This window comes from Homo sapiens, chromosome 6 (assembly GCF_000001405.40).
Source record: "Homo sapiens chromosome 6, GRCh38.p14 Primary Assembly".
NCBI classification, from domain to species: domain Eukaryota; kingdom Metazoa; phylum Chordata; class Mammalia; order Primates; family Hominidae; genus Homo; species Homo sapiens.
In genome coordinates, this window is record NC_000006.12 from 167765292 (window position 1) to 167783637 (window position 18346).

Genomic DNA, 18346 nt, shown 5'->3' on the forward strand with positions numbered 1-18346 from the left:
TCATCAGGGTTCGAGCTTTGCCATTAGGAATGTGGGCTCTTTGGGGATGAATCTAAATTCCAAGAGTTAAATCAATCCCTGAGTTGGGTACAGAGGGTCTTTATTTCTGGACTTCAACCCTGGTTGACATGGGCGGACTGACATGAGTTCATTTGCAGCTCCACGCATCACAGGTGAGCCGCAGTGTGACATAAATCATCAAACTCATGAGGATTGCCCGGCTTTGCTTGTCATTCTGTGTTTTCTTCCCAACAGAGACAGAGTTGCAGGGGCTACAGGACTGTGTATCTGTGTGGTCTGTGACTGAAAGTCTCTGGGCTCGAAGATGGATTCAGGCAGACATGGGGCAGCATACTTGGCATAGAGGAGGCCCCCCTGTCTGCAGCGTCTGGAAATCCCTCCCAGATCTGACTTTTAACCAGTAATAAATACTTCACCTTCATGCATGTATTAGTCCGTTTGCATTGCTATAAATAATCCCCGAGGCTGGGTGATTTATAAAGAATAGAGGTTTGTTTGGCTCACAGCTCTGCAGGCTGTGCAAGAAGCATGGAACCAGCATCTGCATCTGGTGAGGCCTCAGGAAGCTTCTGCTCAGGGCAGAAGGTGAAGGAGAGCCAGCCTCACGTGGTGTGAGAGGGAGCGAGAGAGACAGGAGAGGAAGTGCCACTCTATAGTTAAAAACCAGGTCTCGTGTGAACTAATAGAGAAGTCACTCATTACTGCAAGGACAACACCCACCCATGCCTGAGAGATCCACCCCCGTGACCCAACCCCTCCCACCAGGTCCCACCCCCAACCCTGGGGACCAAATCTCAGCATGAGACTTGGAGGACACAAGCATCTGAACTACCTCGTGCACTAAGTGAATGATTCGTGCTCCAGTTTTTCTCCCCAAGGGCCCTGAGTGGGCTCACTCGGCGATGTGTGAGTGTGGTCTGGCCTGGGGTCAACTGATCTGAGACTGCGTTTTACAGATTTCACTTAATCATTTTGCTAATTTGATCCATTTTCCCAATAGAGGATCCACCTCACAGCACCACAAACTATGATCTGTGGCTCTTGTTAAGTAAGCTTTTGCACTTAACCTGCTGTGGTCTGGCTTTTGCTCAGCAGCTGTGAAATATATACCTGGACCCACAACGGCTCATGGAGTGCTTTCCCATGGAGGCTGATAGCGTCCTTCTGCCATACGCTTGCCCATGCCCTAACTAGAAATGGGCAGAAACAACATCTTTCAGTTCGTTGGCGCAGGTTCTTTGAAGTCAGACTAACCTGCCTGTACCAGATGCTTAAAGCCCCGAGACCTCAAGTCTTCACCTATAAACTGGAAACAGGAACACCTTCCCCACGTGCTGCTATTAGATTTAGAGGTAAAGTGGCGTGTCGCACCCAGCGGGCATTTTATTTATGATGGTGACGATCTGCTGACTCGCCGGACAACATGCTTTTCCACTTGCATTTTTGATAACCCTGTACTAGTGGACTCTTCAGATTGCAAGGATATGACATTCCTAGATTTCTGGGGTTCTTTAAAATAAAACATTTGTTTAATGAACCAGAAAAGCAAGCAGAGTCACCTTCATTGTTAAAGGTGAGACTTAGCAAAGGAAGGATGTGAAGCCTTTCCTCACTGTTTGCAAAATGCCACGCAGAGTGAGGCAGCCACCTTCAGTAGCTGAGGAAATGTCTTTTCCGTGAGATGGCCACAGTTCCTTGAACTGGCTCAGAAAGGCCACACACTGTCCTGGGTGAGGGAGAGTTCCTCTAAGGGAGCACGAGAAAGACCCAGTCTTCTGTTTCTTCACGTGTAGCCTCGTCCAAGAGCCTGTCCAGTACAGGCACCAACGGATGACAGGAGCGCTCCAGCTGCAATCAGTCCCCAGCTTCGTCTCTCTCCTTTAAAGCAGCAGGCAGTATTTCTTTGGCATGAGTTCATGCAGGCGAGCCTGGCTCTGGACTCAATCACTCGGGGGGCAGGAAATCCCACCCCAGCCGCACCGAGGTTCTGCTCCAGCAGCTGGTCCAAAGGCACCAATTTTGGCATCCCGCAGAGCGTCAGAGAATCTTTGTTGCCATAGGTGAGAAGTGCGTCTCCTGAAATGCCAGGTGTTTTCTGCTGACAGCTGCACACGCTCCTTACCAGGGCCGTGCCATCCTGCTCCATGACACACTCCATAGAGGGATCGCTGCACTACAGGTGGTGACAGCAGGGTGGCGTGCGTCGCACTGAGAGAAGGTGTCCACGGAGAGTCCGTCTGCTCCTCCTTGCCTTCAATGTGTCCTCCTGAAGCACGGGAGCTCTTTGCGGATGCTCCCATCATAACGTCCGCATCCTCGGATCCAGGCTGAGGTATTCCACAGCAGCTCAGCTGCAGGGCCCGGGCCCCCGTGCTGTGAGCCTCATCCAGATGCAAGGATGCCTCGGGTTTCTTCTTGAGGGCAACCACTTCAGGAAGGTCAACAATACACTCCTCATGCCGTATGTTCCTTCCACAAGGATTAGAGTCTTCTTCCGGGGCCTTCGCATCCGAGACTGACCGTAAACAACAGCATCTTTCAACAGCTCGCCCAGGCCCTGCCTGCCATCGTATCTGGCAATTCGAGTGGTTGCTTCTGGCAGCGTAGCCCCTAGAACTAGTGATGCAGGGCTCAGTTCCTCATTCAGAATCAGGCGCCGCTGCCCACAGGAGCAGGAGCATTCACTGAATTTGCTGCAGATCTCATGCCACATGCCACAGAACCCAGAACTGCACTACAGGCCTCTCTAGTTCTTCATGTTGGCCAGGCCTCCAAAGTCCTGCCGAGGGCTGCACACTCCAACTCCGTACTTCCCCGGAACTTGCCGGCTGCTTGTTGACATGATCCAGTGTTCGGTGCAGGTCCAAGATAGCTGTAGGGACCCACGTCTCTGGCACCTTTAATTCCATTCCCTGTATACCTGAAGGAGCAGTTATAAACAGGAGACTGTCTCTGCAGCATGTCCACCCTGGCTTGCTCCAGACTGTTCCATTCCCGCTGTCTCTTAGCCTCACATAGAGGTTCCGTGTATACAAGTTTTCAAATCCTGATACAATGGCACAACGCCCTTGTGTTCTTCTCTTTCTGTTGCATGGTGATGACTTTCATTTCTCCAATGCCTCAAGAAATCAAAGATTTTCAAAGAAGGCGGGTGGGTACGCCAGACCCCTAGTATGTAGGTGAGCACAGCACCCAGGACGTGTATTTCTCCTAGAGCTTCATGAAATGCTCTTTTACGCCATTTACTCTGTTCTGTGTAACATGACAGACCCTCTGCTCAAGCCTCCGGGTGCTCTCAGCCAGGTTCCCTCTCCCTCCTTGAGACGCAGAGACGGCGCCTCAGGGACGCTAGGGGAAGCCCCTGGCCCAGAGCCGGGAGTAGTGGCAGCTGGACTGGTAGTCCCTCTGCACTTGCCCCTGTGGCCATCCCAGGTTTCTTTTGATACGGGGAGGTTTTCATCAGGGGAGGTGGGAACCAGAGGTGGCTCAGGAACTCCCCTCCCTGTCGGGCTTCCCTTCCAAGACAGGGGTGCACCACAGGCCCCACGGAGAGATGAGCACCTGGGGGGCCAGCCAGAGAAAGAAGGGTCACCCTCTCCATCCCCTGCCCCGGGAAAGACCTGCCTGGGTCAGTGTGTCACCAGCTGCCTCAGTTTCACAGCAGTCCCCCCAGGAAGATGCCCTCACCCACCAACAGGCCGCACGTCTGACCTGGGCACTCACCCCAGTCCCATGTGTCAGGGTGCAGAAAAGTCCGAGCACAGCCCCTTCCTTGGCCCCTCACTGCCTCCCAGACTTCCCTCCAAAGAGTGACCCATTTGAAAGGCCCCAGAAATATTCACTAAGCCACGCAGGGCTGGGAGGGCTGACGGGAGTCATGGTGGGGAGAACTTACCCCTGCCCCATGCACGACGCATTCACAAAATCGACGTTCGCCTTCTCGAATGTTCCTGGACTCAGAGCCCAGTCTCCCAGCCTCCCTCTCTGTTTTATCAAAATAATCTAAAAACGCACATATTATTTTTCCAGTTTCCCTTCTTTTTTTCTTCAGGTTAAATTTTGACTGTAATTAGTGTGTGGCTGTATTTGAAACAACCCTAAGAGAGATGTTACTGCTACCATTTTCTGTAAAATGGTCTTATTTTTCAAGAAATGGTATCTCTCAGCCCTCAATCCCCCTCTACGATAGGCAGCACAATATGCCAAGATTTCATTTAGCTTTGTTCAGAGACCAAGTTGTAGCTGAATAAATAGAAAGAATGACCAAAGGTAGACTAGAGAAATGCAAACTCGGCTCGTTTTTACCACGAGGGTGGTATAAGGAACCCATCTGCTCCTAAGCTGGCTTGAGGCTGACATTTCTTCATTGCAGTGGAATATTTTACCCTGGAACAGTCTCAGATTTTTCACCTGATACACATTCCAGAGATCCCTGCACACCTAGAGGGTTTCCTGTCACCCTTCACCAAGAGGATGTGAAATGCTGGGAAGACAAAGGTGGAAGAAGAGGAAGAGAAGAGAGGTGAGGCTTCTTCACAAACATGGTCAGTGAGGCCGGCCTGAAGTATCATTATCCTGCGAGTGGCCAGGACTTCCAGCCCACCTGCTGAGAGCCGCCCAGAGCTCGGTCTTCCCATGGGGAGGGCATTGCACAGGCAGGATTATCCAAAGGAGGCCCCTGGTGTGGATGAGGCCACCACGCTTCCATCCCACTGGCTAGGAACCCTGACTCCGGGCGCCTTACCCCAAAGATGGAGATTGTCACAGGGAGAAAGACAGTGGAGGGAGAGGGTGGGCAGCTCCCGTTCCTCATGCCTGGACTCCCATCCCAGAGGTGAGAAGTGAGCTTCGTGGTGAGATCACCACAAAGGTCTATCACCTAAGGGTCCATCACCTACTGTCACTCCCCAACCTGCGGAGCCCTGACCGATGGATGGACAGCCTTTCTCACCCTATGTGTCTCCTTAACGATTGGCCAGACCTTGGCCAGCAGTTTTATGTTCCCTGATGGTGAAAGTGTGGCTTCTAATAGAATCTCCCTCTGTTTTGTTTTCCAAACTTCAACTCTCTCCTCCAGGCTGACTCCGTCCATACCCGTCTCTGCCTTTCCCAGTGGCCTGGGACCCAGCCCAGCTCCTCTATCCTCACCCGGGTGCCTGCATGAGTGCTGTGGCTCCTTCCCCCCTCCTTTCTCCTTGGCCTTGGTGTCTATTCCTTGCAGCACCAGGGGCGTCTCCTCATGCTGCCCCGTTCCTGCGCCTCTGGGGAGCCTCAGGCCTCACTGCCTCTTTCCTGTGCCCACAGCACCTCCTGTTCCTGCCCAGCTCGACACACCCAGGCCTGATGACTCCCAGCATGAATTCCCATGTCTCCCACCCCACGGCCCAAAGTCCCGAGCTGGTGCTCAAAGCTTTCCAAGCATTAGCTCTTTTCTGCCTCTCCAACCTCATAATTTGAGTTGCAGCTTCAGAGCAGCCACCCCCAGCCTGGGAGTGCTTCCTCCCCCGGCTCCAGCGTTGCTCAGGGTTAGGGTTAGGGTTAGGTCAGCCTCCGGGCCCCACTTCCCTCCATCCAGACAGGCCCCACTCCTCACTCTAATTCCCAAGTCCTGAGACCTCGCTGGCGTTCATGTATCACCTGCATCTCTGGGCCTTGAACATCCCAGACCAGGATGGAGTCTCTCTCCTCACCATTTGGGTGCCATGTGGGGCTCCCTCATTAATGCTGCATGCCTCTCTGGCTGGACTTCGTCCGTGAAGATGTGAATGTCTTAGGAATGGTAAAGACCTGCCCTCCGCGTCTTTATAAACTGGATAGCCTGGTCCCAGCCAATTTCAGCACTCAGCGCCATGAGCAAGAGTCAAAATAGTTAACAACAGCACAGTAAAACAAATATGTCAATCAATATAGCCTTTAAAAATTGTAAAATAGATCCCCTTTTTTAAACTCTATTATTATTACATAAACATGCATGCCTAGATAGCCATTTACCAGGGTATAGGAATTATAGCACGAATTTTTTATCAGATCATTCTAAGAGCTTCCAAATCATCAATAAACATCCCAAAATTATTGGCATACGATCTGTTTGGCACAGCTCTTCCTGAAGATGGCTCTGAGTTAGCCATGATTAGACATGGAAAGTCCTCGAAAATTCTCCCAAAAACTTCCTTATCCATTACACGGTCGTTAGGTGACTATGATGTATTCTAACACTTTAGAATAGTGTTTATTAAAGCAAATCTCCAAATGTTTAACCACTCCCATGACACAATTTTAAAGTCTCCATAAAGCCACCTAACCTAAGTCTCCAAAAAGAACTTCTTTTAACATTATTGCCATTACTCATGGTGCAAAGACCTGTGTCAGCCTTTGCTGCGCTAACATTAATGACACGTAAATATCCAGCCCTCCTAACACTGTCTGACATTTAGCTATATGTGATTTCTCTACTACTAGACTGTTATGAAAATTGGTTATTAGCTCACTATATTTAATTAGTCAGCTGAATTTTCTTTATCCACAGAGATTCACAAATGTCCTCTGACCTAGTTTCAGAATTCAAACTACTTAAACATCTTAACATTTCATTGTTTAACTTTTCTCTTCAAACCAAAAATGCATTTTCCAATAACTTATTACACAAACTGATAGTTTTTTCTCTTAGAATAGCTACTTTATGTTTTTATTTCAATTTTTATCTTATTTCTTTACTTAAATACTTCCTACTTTTCCTTCACTATTTTGTTTATTTATTTTATATATTCATTCATTCAAGAAACATTTATATATTGACCATCTACCAGGTAGAAGGCACCACGCTAGGCACATCAGTGACCAAAATCAACAACAGCAACAAAAATCTCTGCCCTTCATGGACTTACAGTGTAGAGAAAAGGAAACAAATAATAAACATAACCAAACAATTACAACGTATGATTTAAAGCTGATAAATGCTTTTGCAAAAGAAATAGACCAGGGAAGGGAATCTGGAGTTCTGTGGGACAGTGGGAGTTTCGTTCCTTGGAATTTTTAATAGTCAGGGTAGGACTCACCTAGAGGAATATGCATGTGAAAACCTTTTTCATCTTTGCTTTAATAACTGAAATATGTTTTTCTTGTCAGGCTAACAAAGCATTAATGGTGTTTACTAAAGCCACAGTCTTCAAATGTTTAACCACTCCCATGACACAGTTTTTATCAGAGGGACTCTGTGAATCTTGATATACTTTTTAAAACATTCTAGGCTGGTGTGGTGGCTCACGCCCATAATCCCAGCACTTTGGGAGGCCAAGGCGGGCGGATCACCAGGTCAGGAGATCAAGACCGTCCTGGCTAACATGGTGAAACCCCATCTCTACTAAAAATACAAAAAAATTAGCCGGGCGTTGTGGCAGGTGCCTGTAGTCCCAGTTACTCGGGAGGCTGAGGCAGGAGAATGGCGTGAACCCAGAAGGCAGAGCTTGCAGTGAGCTGAGATCGCGCCACTGCACTCCAGCCTGGGCGACAGAGCCAGACTTCGTCTCAAAAAAAACAAAACACAACAAAACAAAAAAAACACTCTAACAAGCTCTATCCTGCACAGGGTACCCACTACAATCTCAGCTATCTTCCAGTTTTTGTTTTTATTCTAGCTCTTCAGACATAGTATTTAATTCTCTCTGCTGTTTACTTGATGTATAATACAAACATAAAGCTTATTGGGAACAGATACAGTGATTGATTTACAAATGTTATTGCGCCATTCAGATATAATTGAATACAGTCATTTCAGACTATAAATTAGTCTAAATTGAGTAGACAATCAAAATTAGACAACTTAAATTAAAACATGTTGAAACTTTATAAAAATTTGGCAGAAATGACATATTTTCTTCACACAATTACACTGACACTGTTTATACATACCTAATGTATTCTACATAAGAAGTTTCTCATGGAAATTATTTTTCTCCGACACTAAAAAGAATGATTGACATTTAATTTTATGACGTTCACAAAATCAAGAAAACCATTAAACTGTCTTCAAAGTTCTGAATTTTGTATTTCAAATAAATTATTACAATAGTCTTATGTGAAAGTAATGAAATTTGGCTGATAATGATTGAAATGTACTGCCTTGACTTGTAAGCTTCCTTAAAACTTGTTTTCATATTTCAATGGATGTATGTTTTCAAGTAGACGAGTCAAAATTCTAGATTATGGCCAGGTGCAGTGGCTCATGCCTGTAATCCCAGCACTTTGGGAGGCTCAAGCAGTAGGATCACTTGAGGATAGGAGTTCAAGACCAGCCTGGGCAACACAGGGAGACCTCATCTCTACAAAAAAGGCATGGTGGTGTGCACCTGAAGTTCTAGCTATTCAGGAGGCTGAGGCAGGAGAAATGCTTGAGCTCAGGAGTTTGAAGATAGAGTGAGCTATAATTGTGCCGCTGCACTCCAGCCTGGGCAACAGAGCAAGAACCCCAACTATAAATAAATAAATAAATAAATCTAGATTACAATAATCCATCTATATTAGCGTTATTCTGTTTTTGAAGCTCTAATGACTATTTATAGGCTGGGTGCGGTGGCTCACACCTGTAATCCCAGCACTTTGGGAGGCTGAGGCAGGCAGATCACCTGAGGTCAGGAGTTCGAGACTAGCCTGGCCAACATGGCGAAACACCATCTCTAGTAAAAAAATACAAAATTAGCCGGGTGTGGTGGCACACGCATGTAGTCCCAGCTACTCAGGAGGCTGAGGCAGGAGAATCGCTTGACATTGGGAGGCAGAGGTTGCACTCAGCTGAGATCATGCCATTGCACTCCAGCCTGGGTGACAAGAGTGAAACTCTGTCTCAAAAACAAAAAACAAATAAACAATAAAACTATTTATGTCTGAAATGCCTGATTATTTTTAGCCACAGAATAGGTGGTATAAAAGATTATAAAAGCAACACTTCTAAACATTTTTTCAGTTTCTTCATTAATACTCTTTAATAAATTTTAAAATAATTTTTTATGATTTGAAATGTTTACATGTGAAATTGAATTATGAATTAAGAAAATCATTCTTCTAATTTTTTTCATTAATTTTACACATTTCCATATGGAAACCTGAGTCTTTTGCACGATGTGGTTATCCCTGCACTAAGTGTGTAGATGGCTGGCAACTTTAACTTTTGACATTACACAGTTGGCACCACTTGCATCTGGCATTTGTGTCAGTATCAATAATAGGTCATTCAATTTTGTTGAAATAATCAAGTTGTTTTTAATTCCAGCAATGCAGCTTTTTCTAAAAAAAAAAAAAAAAAAAGCAACAACAACTAATTCTTGCCAATCAAACCCTGCTCCAGGCCAGATTGGTGTTTCCAACACCAGAGGATGCTCCAGGCAGTAGATCTGATTCACACTCTCTCAGAAGACGCATGTTTATGAAATTTAAAGCAAGCATTCCTACACTTATCCAGAGTGATTTTTTTACAATATTTTATCTTAGATTCTATAGCTACCACCTACATAAAAAATGCAATGCCCCATAACAATAAAACCAAAAGTTTCTCAGAAGACAGTGCAACAGAAAGCCCATGTGTCTATACTTGTCGCAATGGTCAGTATCAGTGTGACCCAGTGAGCTTACCCTAGAATTTATATTATAATTAAAGATTGCCCATTATCACAGCTACTCTTATACTATTTACTACATACCAAGCACTATGGAAATATTTCAGTGTTTTCACCAACAGTCCGGCCTGACGGCGTGTTAATGCACGGACATCGGTGGGAATGCTCGCCTGGCCCCAGGATTCTGGATCGCGTTGGATGGAGTTCATTATCATTCTTAAGGGCTATCCTTTTTAATATGCACATGACTTTTCTAACCAACTTCTTGTGATATAATTGACATACCCTAAATTTACCTATTTAAAGTGTATAATTCAGTGGTACTAGTACATTCACGAGATTGTGCAACCATCACCGCTCCCTGACTCCTGAAAATTTCCAGTCTCCCAGGAGAAACTGCATTCTCCTTGGCAGTTCCTTTCCATCCTCCAGCCCCTGGCAGCCACTGCCTGACTTTCTCTCCCTCTGGATTTGCCTGTTCTGGACTTTCATGCACATGGAAGTAGACAGTGTGTGGCTTTTTGTACCTGGTTCGTCCCCTAGGCACGTTTTCAAGGTACACTGTGTTGGAGAATGTGTCTGTACTTCTCTTTAATAGACTTTGTTTTTTAGAGTAGTTTTAGGTTCACAGCAAAACTGAGCAGAAGGTACAGAGATTTCCCACCTACCCTCTGCCCCTCAACACACACACAGCCTCCCTCACAACCCACATCCCCACCACAGCGAGCATGTGTTACAATTGATGAACCTACAGTGACACATCGTCACCCAAAGTCGACAGTTTACAGGAGAGCCCCCCACTTAATAGTGTGCATTCTATGGGTTTGGACAAATAATAATGACACACACCCCCATTGTAATATCCACCTACTGCAGATGATGTCTTCACCTAATAGAAGGGCAAGGAGCTGCTTACAGCCATTGTCCCTCTACCACCATCGCCAAGCCTTAGCCCCGAGCCCTGCCTACACCAGCTGTTCTGAGGTGTTGGCGTATTAGCCCTGCTGTGTCCTGATAGACTTTACCTCTGTCATGTCCATTCCGGCCCAGTAACCAGACTGCATTGTTTGTTCTGCATATGAGGCTATGCCGTAACTTTCCGTGTGTTTGGGGGCTTAGTCATCGTAGCATTAGATTAACAGGTTTAGGGCCGGGCGCGGTGGCTCATGCCTGTAATCCCAGCACTTTGGGAGGCCAAGGCGGGCAGATCATCTGAGGTCAGGAGTTTGAGACCAGCCTGACCAACATGGTGAAACCCCATCTCTACTAAAAATACAAAAATTAGCTGGGTGTGGTGGTGCGTGCCTGTCATCCCACCTACTTGGGAGACTGAAGTGGGAGGATGGCTTGAGCTCAGGAGGTGAAAGCTACAGTGAGCCATGATCACACCAATGCACTCCAGCCTGGACAACAGAGCGAGATCCTGTCTCAAATAAATAAATTAATTAAATATTCTGATTCTCTTCTTTCTTCTGATGTTTCCACTTAGACAATTGTCCAGCATCCAACTAGAAGGCAGCTGGAAGGAGAATACATAGTAAAGCTGTTCTCATTAACTGTATCATTTGCTGACTATTATTGCCATAGGATTGATGAGCACGACAATTATTACACAGAAGAGGGATTTCTTGCTATCCCTCTCAACTGTCTAAATATTTAGACATGTGGTATCTGAGCCATACACATTTCTCTTCCCAATTATTGAGTTCCCAGCTTGGCCCACAAACAGCATGAGGGTTTTGTTTAGAGTGGAGAAGAAAGGCCTTTTTAGAGAGCTAGAGAGCGGGGCTTTCTAAACCAGCTGGGATTCTTTCTGAAGGTGGGAGAGTTGCTGGAAGTAGAGGGATTTGTTGAAGTCCGGTGGGGAGCAGGGAGCTTTTATCAGCCCAAGGGGGTATTTCAAGGCTGAGACTGGCGCTCAGTCTCCACATCAGACCGGCACTCACTGCTCCGGGACTTCCAGAGCGATGTTGCCCCACCTGCCAGGACTCTGCAGACCATGAGGACGGCAGTCCTGACTCCTACAAGTAACCACATTTAGAGCAGACCCCTGAGCCCCACTTCCTCTCCAGCAAAAGCACCAGCTCTGAGGCTCTGCCAGCCCTGAGTTCCGAGGCCCCTGGCCCAAGGAGGACGAGGAGAAAAGAACAAATGAGCTGAGTATAGACATGGCTGCCATTCATCCCTAAGGCTGGAGAGCAAAGGGCAGTCTGGCAGCTCACCCCAAAGCACAGAGAGTGCAGGGAAAGGGAAAGGGAAACGGAAGTATGGGGAAAATGCAGCTCAGACTCAAGAACTTAAAAGTGTCCTCCCCAAAATCAATGCGAGTTAACTACGCCACCAGCTATGACACTAACCGTCTCCTGCCTACCCCCTGCAGTTGCCTACATTTTGATTTTGGTTTCATAGATCTGGAATCAATCTGCTTGCAGTCAGAAATGTTAGTGAGGTAATCCCAGAGAGAGAAATATCTGCCGCAGTCATTTAAACATCTGGTGCCGCCTCCACCCATGACCCCACCCATGGCTCGCCTGGCCTCGCCTCATCTCTGCCAACCTATATTCCTCTTGCTTCGAGTGAAGCTCTTTCCCTATAATTTTCCTTCATCTCCTGATCAATAAAACCTGGATTTACAGGCCAAGAACAAGCAAACAAAAAGTACCCGTGAGCTGGTCTAAACTAGCTTTCATCGAGAAATGCAGCACAAATAAAATGAGTGATTGGTGAGGGGTGAGTTTTGTTTAACTGGGCTTATTCTGGTTGAGAAGCAAGCTCACATCAACTTGGCCATGGAGGAGTAATGTGACTGTCCCCAATTCTGTCAAAAACAACAGCAGACTAAACTCCCTGGCCTCACAGCTAGCCACTTCTGAGGATGAGGCTTACCATGCACTCAGGACTACGAGCCTTTTCCAAATGTTCTCTTGTCTACAACCCTCTGAGCGTGGTGCAAATATTAATTAGTGTTTCTAATGTCGCCTCGCACTGTCATTATCTGTTGATGAAGAGACAGACGTGTCTCCGACAACATCCAGGCCAGCCAAGGTGACATTGCTTTCCTTTGCTCCAAAGCTGTATTCAGCTGCCCTAGTTGGAGTCATCCGCATAGAGTCATTACCATCTCACTTTTGGAAACACTCCCACTCCACTCTGTTGCTGTCCCTAGCACTGTCACTGCAATAAGATAAGAGCCCCAGGCTGGGCACGGTGGCTCACAACTGTAATCCCAGCACTTTGGGAGGCCGAGGCGGGCAGATCACCTGAGTCAGGAGTTCGAGACCACCCTGGCCAATATGGTGAAACCCCGTCTCTAAAGAAATACAAAAATTAGCCAGGCGTGGTGGCTCACCCCTGTAATCCCAGCTACTCGGGAGGCTGAGGCAGGAGAATCGACTGAACCCAGGAGGCGGAGGTTGCAGTGAGCCGAGATCGCACCACTGCACTCCAGCCTGGGCAACAGAGCAAGACTCTGTCTCAAAAAACAAACAAAAAGAGTCCCAGTGCACCTCCAGCGTCCTGGGATCCTGCAGCTCCTGCCCTCCTGGGTGCAGGTCCCTAACATCCCCCCCTAGGCCCACCCACCTTCACCCCCACCTGCCTGCTCCAGCCTCTTCTGCTTCCCAAAGCCACGGCCAGACGCACCTCCCCAGACATGGCCTGGCCGGCCCTCCTCTGCTCAGGAATGCACTCGGGCTGGTAATTACTGGCCACGCCAGGTCACCAGCTTGTTTGTCTTGTTCCGGAGACTTCCATGTGATCTTGGCTCCCGTGTGAGCTTGGTCGCCTCCGAGCCTCTTCCACGCCTCTCTCCTTTCCCCCAAGCCGTGGCTCCAGCCACCAAAGCAAAGCCATAGCAATGTCCACTGTGTATGGTGAGAACGCTGCCTCCAGAGCTCTGCAGTGCCTCTTACCTTACCCGATCACCACACTCAGCCACATGTGACAGGCAAGCTCAGTTCCCATTTCACACACTGGAAAACAGCCTCAGAACAGTCTAGCAGTTTGCACAGGATTGCGTAGCTACAGCCTGGCCCACCCTTCCTAAGAGGCCTGTGGTTCCTCACGGCCATAGCTTGCAACCTCCTCCGAAGCCCGGAGGCCTCGCTCTCTTCTAGTTCCTGGGGCAGTGACCAAGAGCCCCCGATGTGCAGGACGTAGACTAGACATGAGGCGGGGTCCCTGGCTTAAAAGAGCTGGTAATGAATTAAATCAGCAGAAAAGACAGAAGTAATATAAAGAATTGTCATTAATATAAGGTAGAAAATGATTAATACCAAAGAAGTGGCAAAGATAGTAGTTGCTGTGGAAGACGGAAAATATGTGTTTGAGGCTGGCGTGGTGCAGAGACAGTTTCTTGGAGAAGGTGGCCTCTGAGCGAGGCTGGCAAGTGGGCATGCCCCCGTGTCTTTGTGACCCCGGGGGAGAGGCCTTCCCTGGAAGGACCACAGCATCCTCTCAAGCCCTGGGCTTCAGCACTGTGTTTCTGTGTGTTGCTGCCTAATGGTTTCCTAAGATTCAGTCTGTCTCCCCGACAACACTGAAGGTGTTATCTTACAAATATAAAAATGCCCAAATTTTTAAAATATACACTTTCACTTCCTTCACAGCCAGGTTGCAGTGTGACTGCGAGGGCTGGCATGGGACTTGGCAGCTCGGGGTCCCCAGGGAACTCGGAATTGCACTGGGGCCTATAGCAAGGGACCCATGAAGAGCTGACGGTTGACTTGGGCCTCCCTCCAAACTCTGGGTGAATGGGAATATTAATAGCTGCCTGGCAGGTGCATTGATTTAACTCAGTGCAGTGAGTAATAGGTCTCAGCCTGTTTATGTGATTATAACAAAATATCTGAGGCTGGGTCATTTGTGAAGAACAGACGTTGATTCTCACACTCCGGAGGCCGGGTCCGAGATCAAGGTACCGGCAGGTTCAGTGCCTGGTCAGGGGCGGCTCCTCTCAGACAGCACCTTCTCCACGTCCTCACATGGCAGGAGGTGAGGAAGGAACAGACTCGCCCCTTGAGCCGCTTTCTAATAAGGAGCTAGTCCTCCTGCACGTCCCTCCTCTCAGCACCGTCACACTGGTGACCACGTCTCCACATATGAATCTTGGTGGACACATTCAGGCCACAGCAGACGCAATGGAAAGGATAGTTCAAAACATAAAAATGGTCACAATTTTAGTAGCAAAAGGCCAGCCTCCTGTCTGGACTGACGTTGGGCCTTCTGCTGTGGGTTTCCTGAGAGACTCACTCCCCTCTTCACACGCAGGCCTCCTTCACTCTCCCGGGGGTCCTGGCTAGGAACCTCCACGCCCACCACCCACTGCTCATCTTCTGCTGCCCCCAAAGCTTAGATGGCCTGTTCACCCAGTGTTTCTCATCTGCCTGCCTACACCATCTCTTCACATCTCAGCTTAGCCACGACCGTCTCTCGGAGCCCTCCGGACCTTCGAAGACTGGTCTAGGGGCTTTCCTATGCACTTACAAGGCAGCCTTTAAGCCCCAGTGGTCTTTCTCCTCCCCAGGCTGTTTTCCTAAGGCAGGAGGTCTGTATTTGGTGGCATCATACACTGGGCACTCACCAGGCTGACCAAGCCTACCCTCGGGGACTGTTTGTGAATAGCTGAGCAGCAGGGGCCGGCGGAGAGACCTCAGCTCTGGGTTATCCGTCCACTAGCAGCCATCCCCTTGTCTGCTGTGGTGGAACATGAATCTTAGCAGAAATGCACAAACCACCCCAACCATAAAACTGCATGCATTCCTACTCAGCTCATTATCAATCAAGATGTGAATTTATAATCCTGGTAATTACTAATCAATAAAATTAGACCAGATAAGTCCCTGAATTGTCAAATGTAAAAATGAGAATGTGAAAAGAGCTAGTTGAGAGGTCAAAACACAGAGGAAGTCCTGGTGTGGCAGCCACACGTGGAACCCCAGCACTTTGGGAGGCTGAGGCCAGCCCAGAAGCTCGAGCCTGGGCAACACAGTGAGGTCCCATCTCTCCAAAAAAATATTTAAAATTAACCGGGCGTGGTGGTTGCATGCCTGTGGTCCCAACCACTCGGGAGGCTGAGGTGGGAGGATCACTTGAGCCCAGGAGTTTAAGGCTGCAGTGAGCCACGATTGTGCCACTGCACTCCAGCCTGGGCTATAGGGCGAGACCCTGTCTCAAAAATAAATTAATACTTTTAAAAGCACACGTACAGAGGAAGAAGGCCTGAATGATTCTCAAAGCCCATCCTGCACCTGCCCTCCCCACAGAATGACTCCAGCTTTGCCTGAGCACTCACAAGGAGAGCCAGGCCCAGGCCCTCCCCACAGTGATGTGCCATCAGGTGGAGAAGCCACACCCTCCGCCTGTCCACTCCCACACTCACCGTTGCTGTGTCACACGTGGGCAAAGGAAGAATCGGAAACTAAAGGTTGTCAGTTACCTTTTCAGGGAAATACACGTCCCCATTTGTTTTCTAGAATGAAAAGAACAGCTTCAAGGTGTTTAGAGGCTCCTGTCAATGCCCCTCATGCTTGGAAATGAATGCAAGCTGCAGATTCGGGTTGCCTTCTCCACTTGCTGCAAATGCACCTTTAATTGCTTGTACACATCACGTTTTCCCGGGGAGCTGATGAGTCACCTGCCTTTCCACTCATAGGCTCACGCCCACCTCAATCCATCCTTCTTTATGTCCCTACAGGTAAAGAAAATTGCCTGCATTAGCTGCCCTGACAGCCACCCACTACTCCCGAGGGTGAACATCCAGAAGAGAGAAGGTGCACCTCTCAGAGTCGGTCTGGACCGTAACAATGGGAACGGTTATGCTCTTTCAAAAGGCTCTTTCTCTTTTATGCCCACAGATAAAAGTTAGGGACTTCTTGCTGAATCCCAGGAGGTAGTAAAAAAAACCACGAATCTCCATCCAAGGATCCCTGCACCTAGTCGGTGCCTCCACGGCACTCCGGTTTAAAGACCAGGGATCTTAGTCGTCACTGTTTGTAGAGAATGAGAAGAATCAAACCTCACAAAATTAAATCGCTTCTGATGCTCTCCCTTCCAGGCATGCGAATGGGCCCATGCAGACAACATCTTTGTGCTGGGCTATTTGGCCTGATGTATGTAAAAGATCTGTGAATCATGGCAGTGAGTAACGCAGCACCTTCACTTAGTAGGGGCTCATCAAGAGCTTGGCGAATACATAAGTGGCTGGATGAATAAATCACTGAGCTCTGCAGGCTTAAGTCTGTCTTTGCTCTACTGACCAGATCGGCAAATCCCCACCACAGAAGAGAGTTCTCAGGGCGGCAGCTCCCTGTCTCAACCCTCCCTAGCCCTACAAAATTATAAAAACAGATGATGGCTGCACAGGTCTCTGAAGCAGGGCTAGATCCATAAATTAACTAATGGAATTTAATCCTTGCAATAAGATACATTCTTTATAGGTGAGAACCCTGAGCATCAGAGAAGGCAACTAACTCAGCCAAGCTTAAACAGCCATGAAGGGGAGGAGCTGGGATGTGGGGGTCTGACTCCAGCATCTGCACTTGCAGTGACTGGGCTATAGTAGTGCCCCTCACATATTATATGAAAGCACGTGGGCTGGGCCTGACAATCTGTGTCTTAAACAACCTCCCAGGTAAAACCCATGCTGATGGTTGACGAACCTTACTAGGAGCCACAAAGCCCTTTTCCACTCTTGGTACTTCTCTGATCTGTCCTCTAGAACATCTTCTACAACTTTCCTGATTACACGAATGAATCTACCTTTTCATTTTTGTGATTCAGTTTTGTATGAGTCAGGATTCTCCAGAGAAGCAGAGCCAACAGGAGATATATAGATACAGAGATAGAGAGAGAGAGTGGGAGGAATCGGGGCTCATGTGATTCGGGGAACTGGCAAGTCTGGAGTCCACAGGGCAGGTCAGCTGCCTGGAGATGGAGATGACAGTTGATATTTCAGTCTGGAGTCCGAAGGCCAACTGGAGACAGAATTCCTTCTCCCTCTGGAAACTTCAGTCCCAGTGAAGCCTCTTCAGGCCCTCAGTGGGCCAGAGGAGGGAAAATACCCTTTTCTGTCTACACACCTGCTCTCCATGTCCACAGCAGCGCTCTATGACAGGAGAATGTTTGTGCAGTCACTTGGGACTTGCCTCCCTCCTGTGTCTAGTCCATGGTGCAGAAAGGTTTGCCTGCACTTTGGTCTTCTACCAGCCACTGACTTAAGAACTTTTGAAATTATTCTAATTGGCATTTTTAACATTTCATCTTTGAATGTTTAAAAATATTCATTGTAATGTAATTGTCAAGTAGGTAATGTGCTCAGGCACCACCAGCTCATTTCCCAGCTTCTGGACAGGTGACTGTGGCTTAACAGCTTCCAGTCTCCAGCAGAGACTGCCACTCAGTGTCCCCAGCAAAGCTCTGGAGTTCATCTGGAACCTGAAGGGCAAACAATCCAGAGAGACAGAGAGAGAGAGAGAGAGGAAGGAAGGAAGGAAGGAAGGAAGGAAGGAAGGAAGGAAGGAAGGAAGGAAGGAAGGTAGGTCTGTCCTCTTTAATAACAAGGGATAATTTGGGCTAAATTTTGCCTATGTTGCTGCACTTAGTGTCACCTTCAGCAGTAACTTTAACCATTCTGGAATATTATTGACACCTGTTCCAATGGAAGGAATGGAAGGAATTGACATCTGTTCCAATGGAAGTCTCTGATAAAGAAGTCTTTA

General features: G+C 47.9%; 1 pseudogene, besides 1 other annotated feature; it reads right to left on the reverse strand.

Moving 5' to 3' along the window:
- Positions 1633-2133: an enhancer, noted in NCBI's record as "H3K4me1 hESC enhancer chr6:168167604-168168104 (GRCh37/hg19 assembly coordinates)". NCBI's record gives its function as "activates a minimal SCP1, AML or CMV promoter by ChIP-STARR-seq in primed H9 embryonic stem cells {active_cell/tissue: H9 hESC(primed)}" and the evidence as "EXISTENCE:reporter gene assay evidence [ECO:0000049][PMID:30033119]".
- On the reverse strand, positions 1792-3294 carry LOC100422263 (serine palmitoyltransferase long chain base subunit 2 pseudogene; annotated as a pseudogene).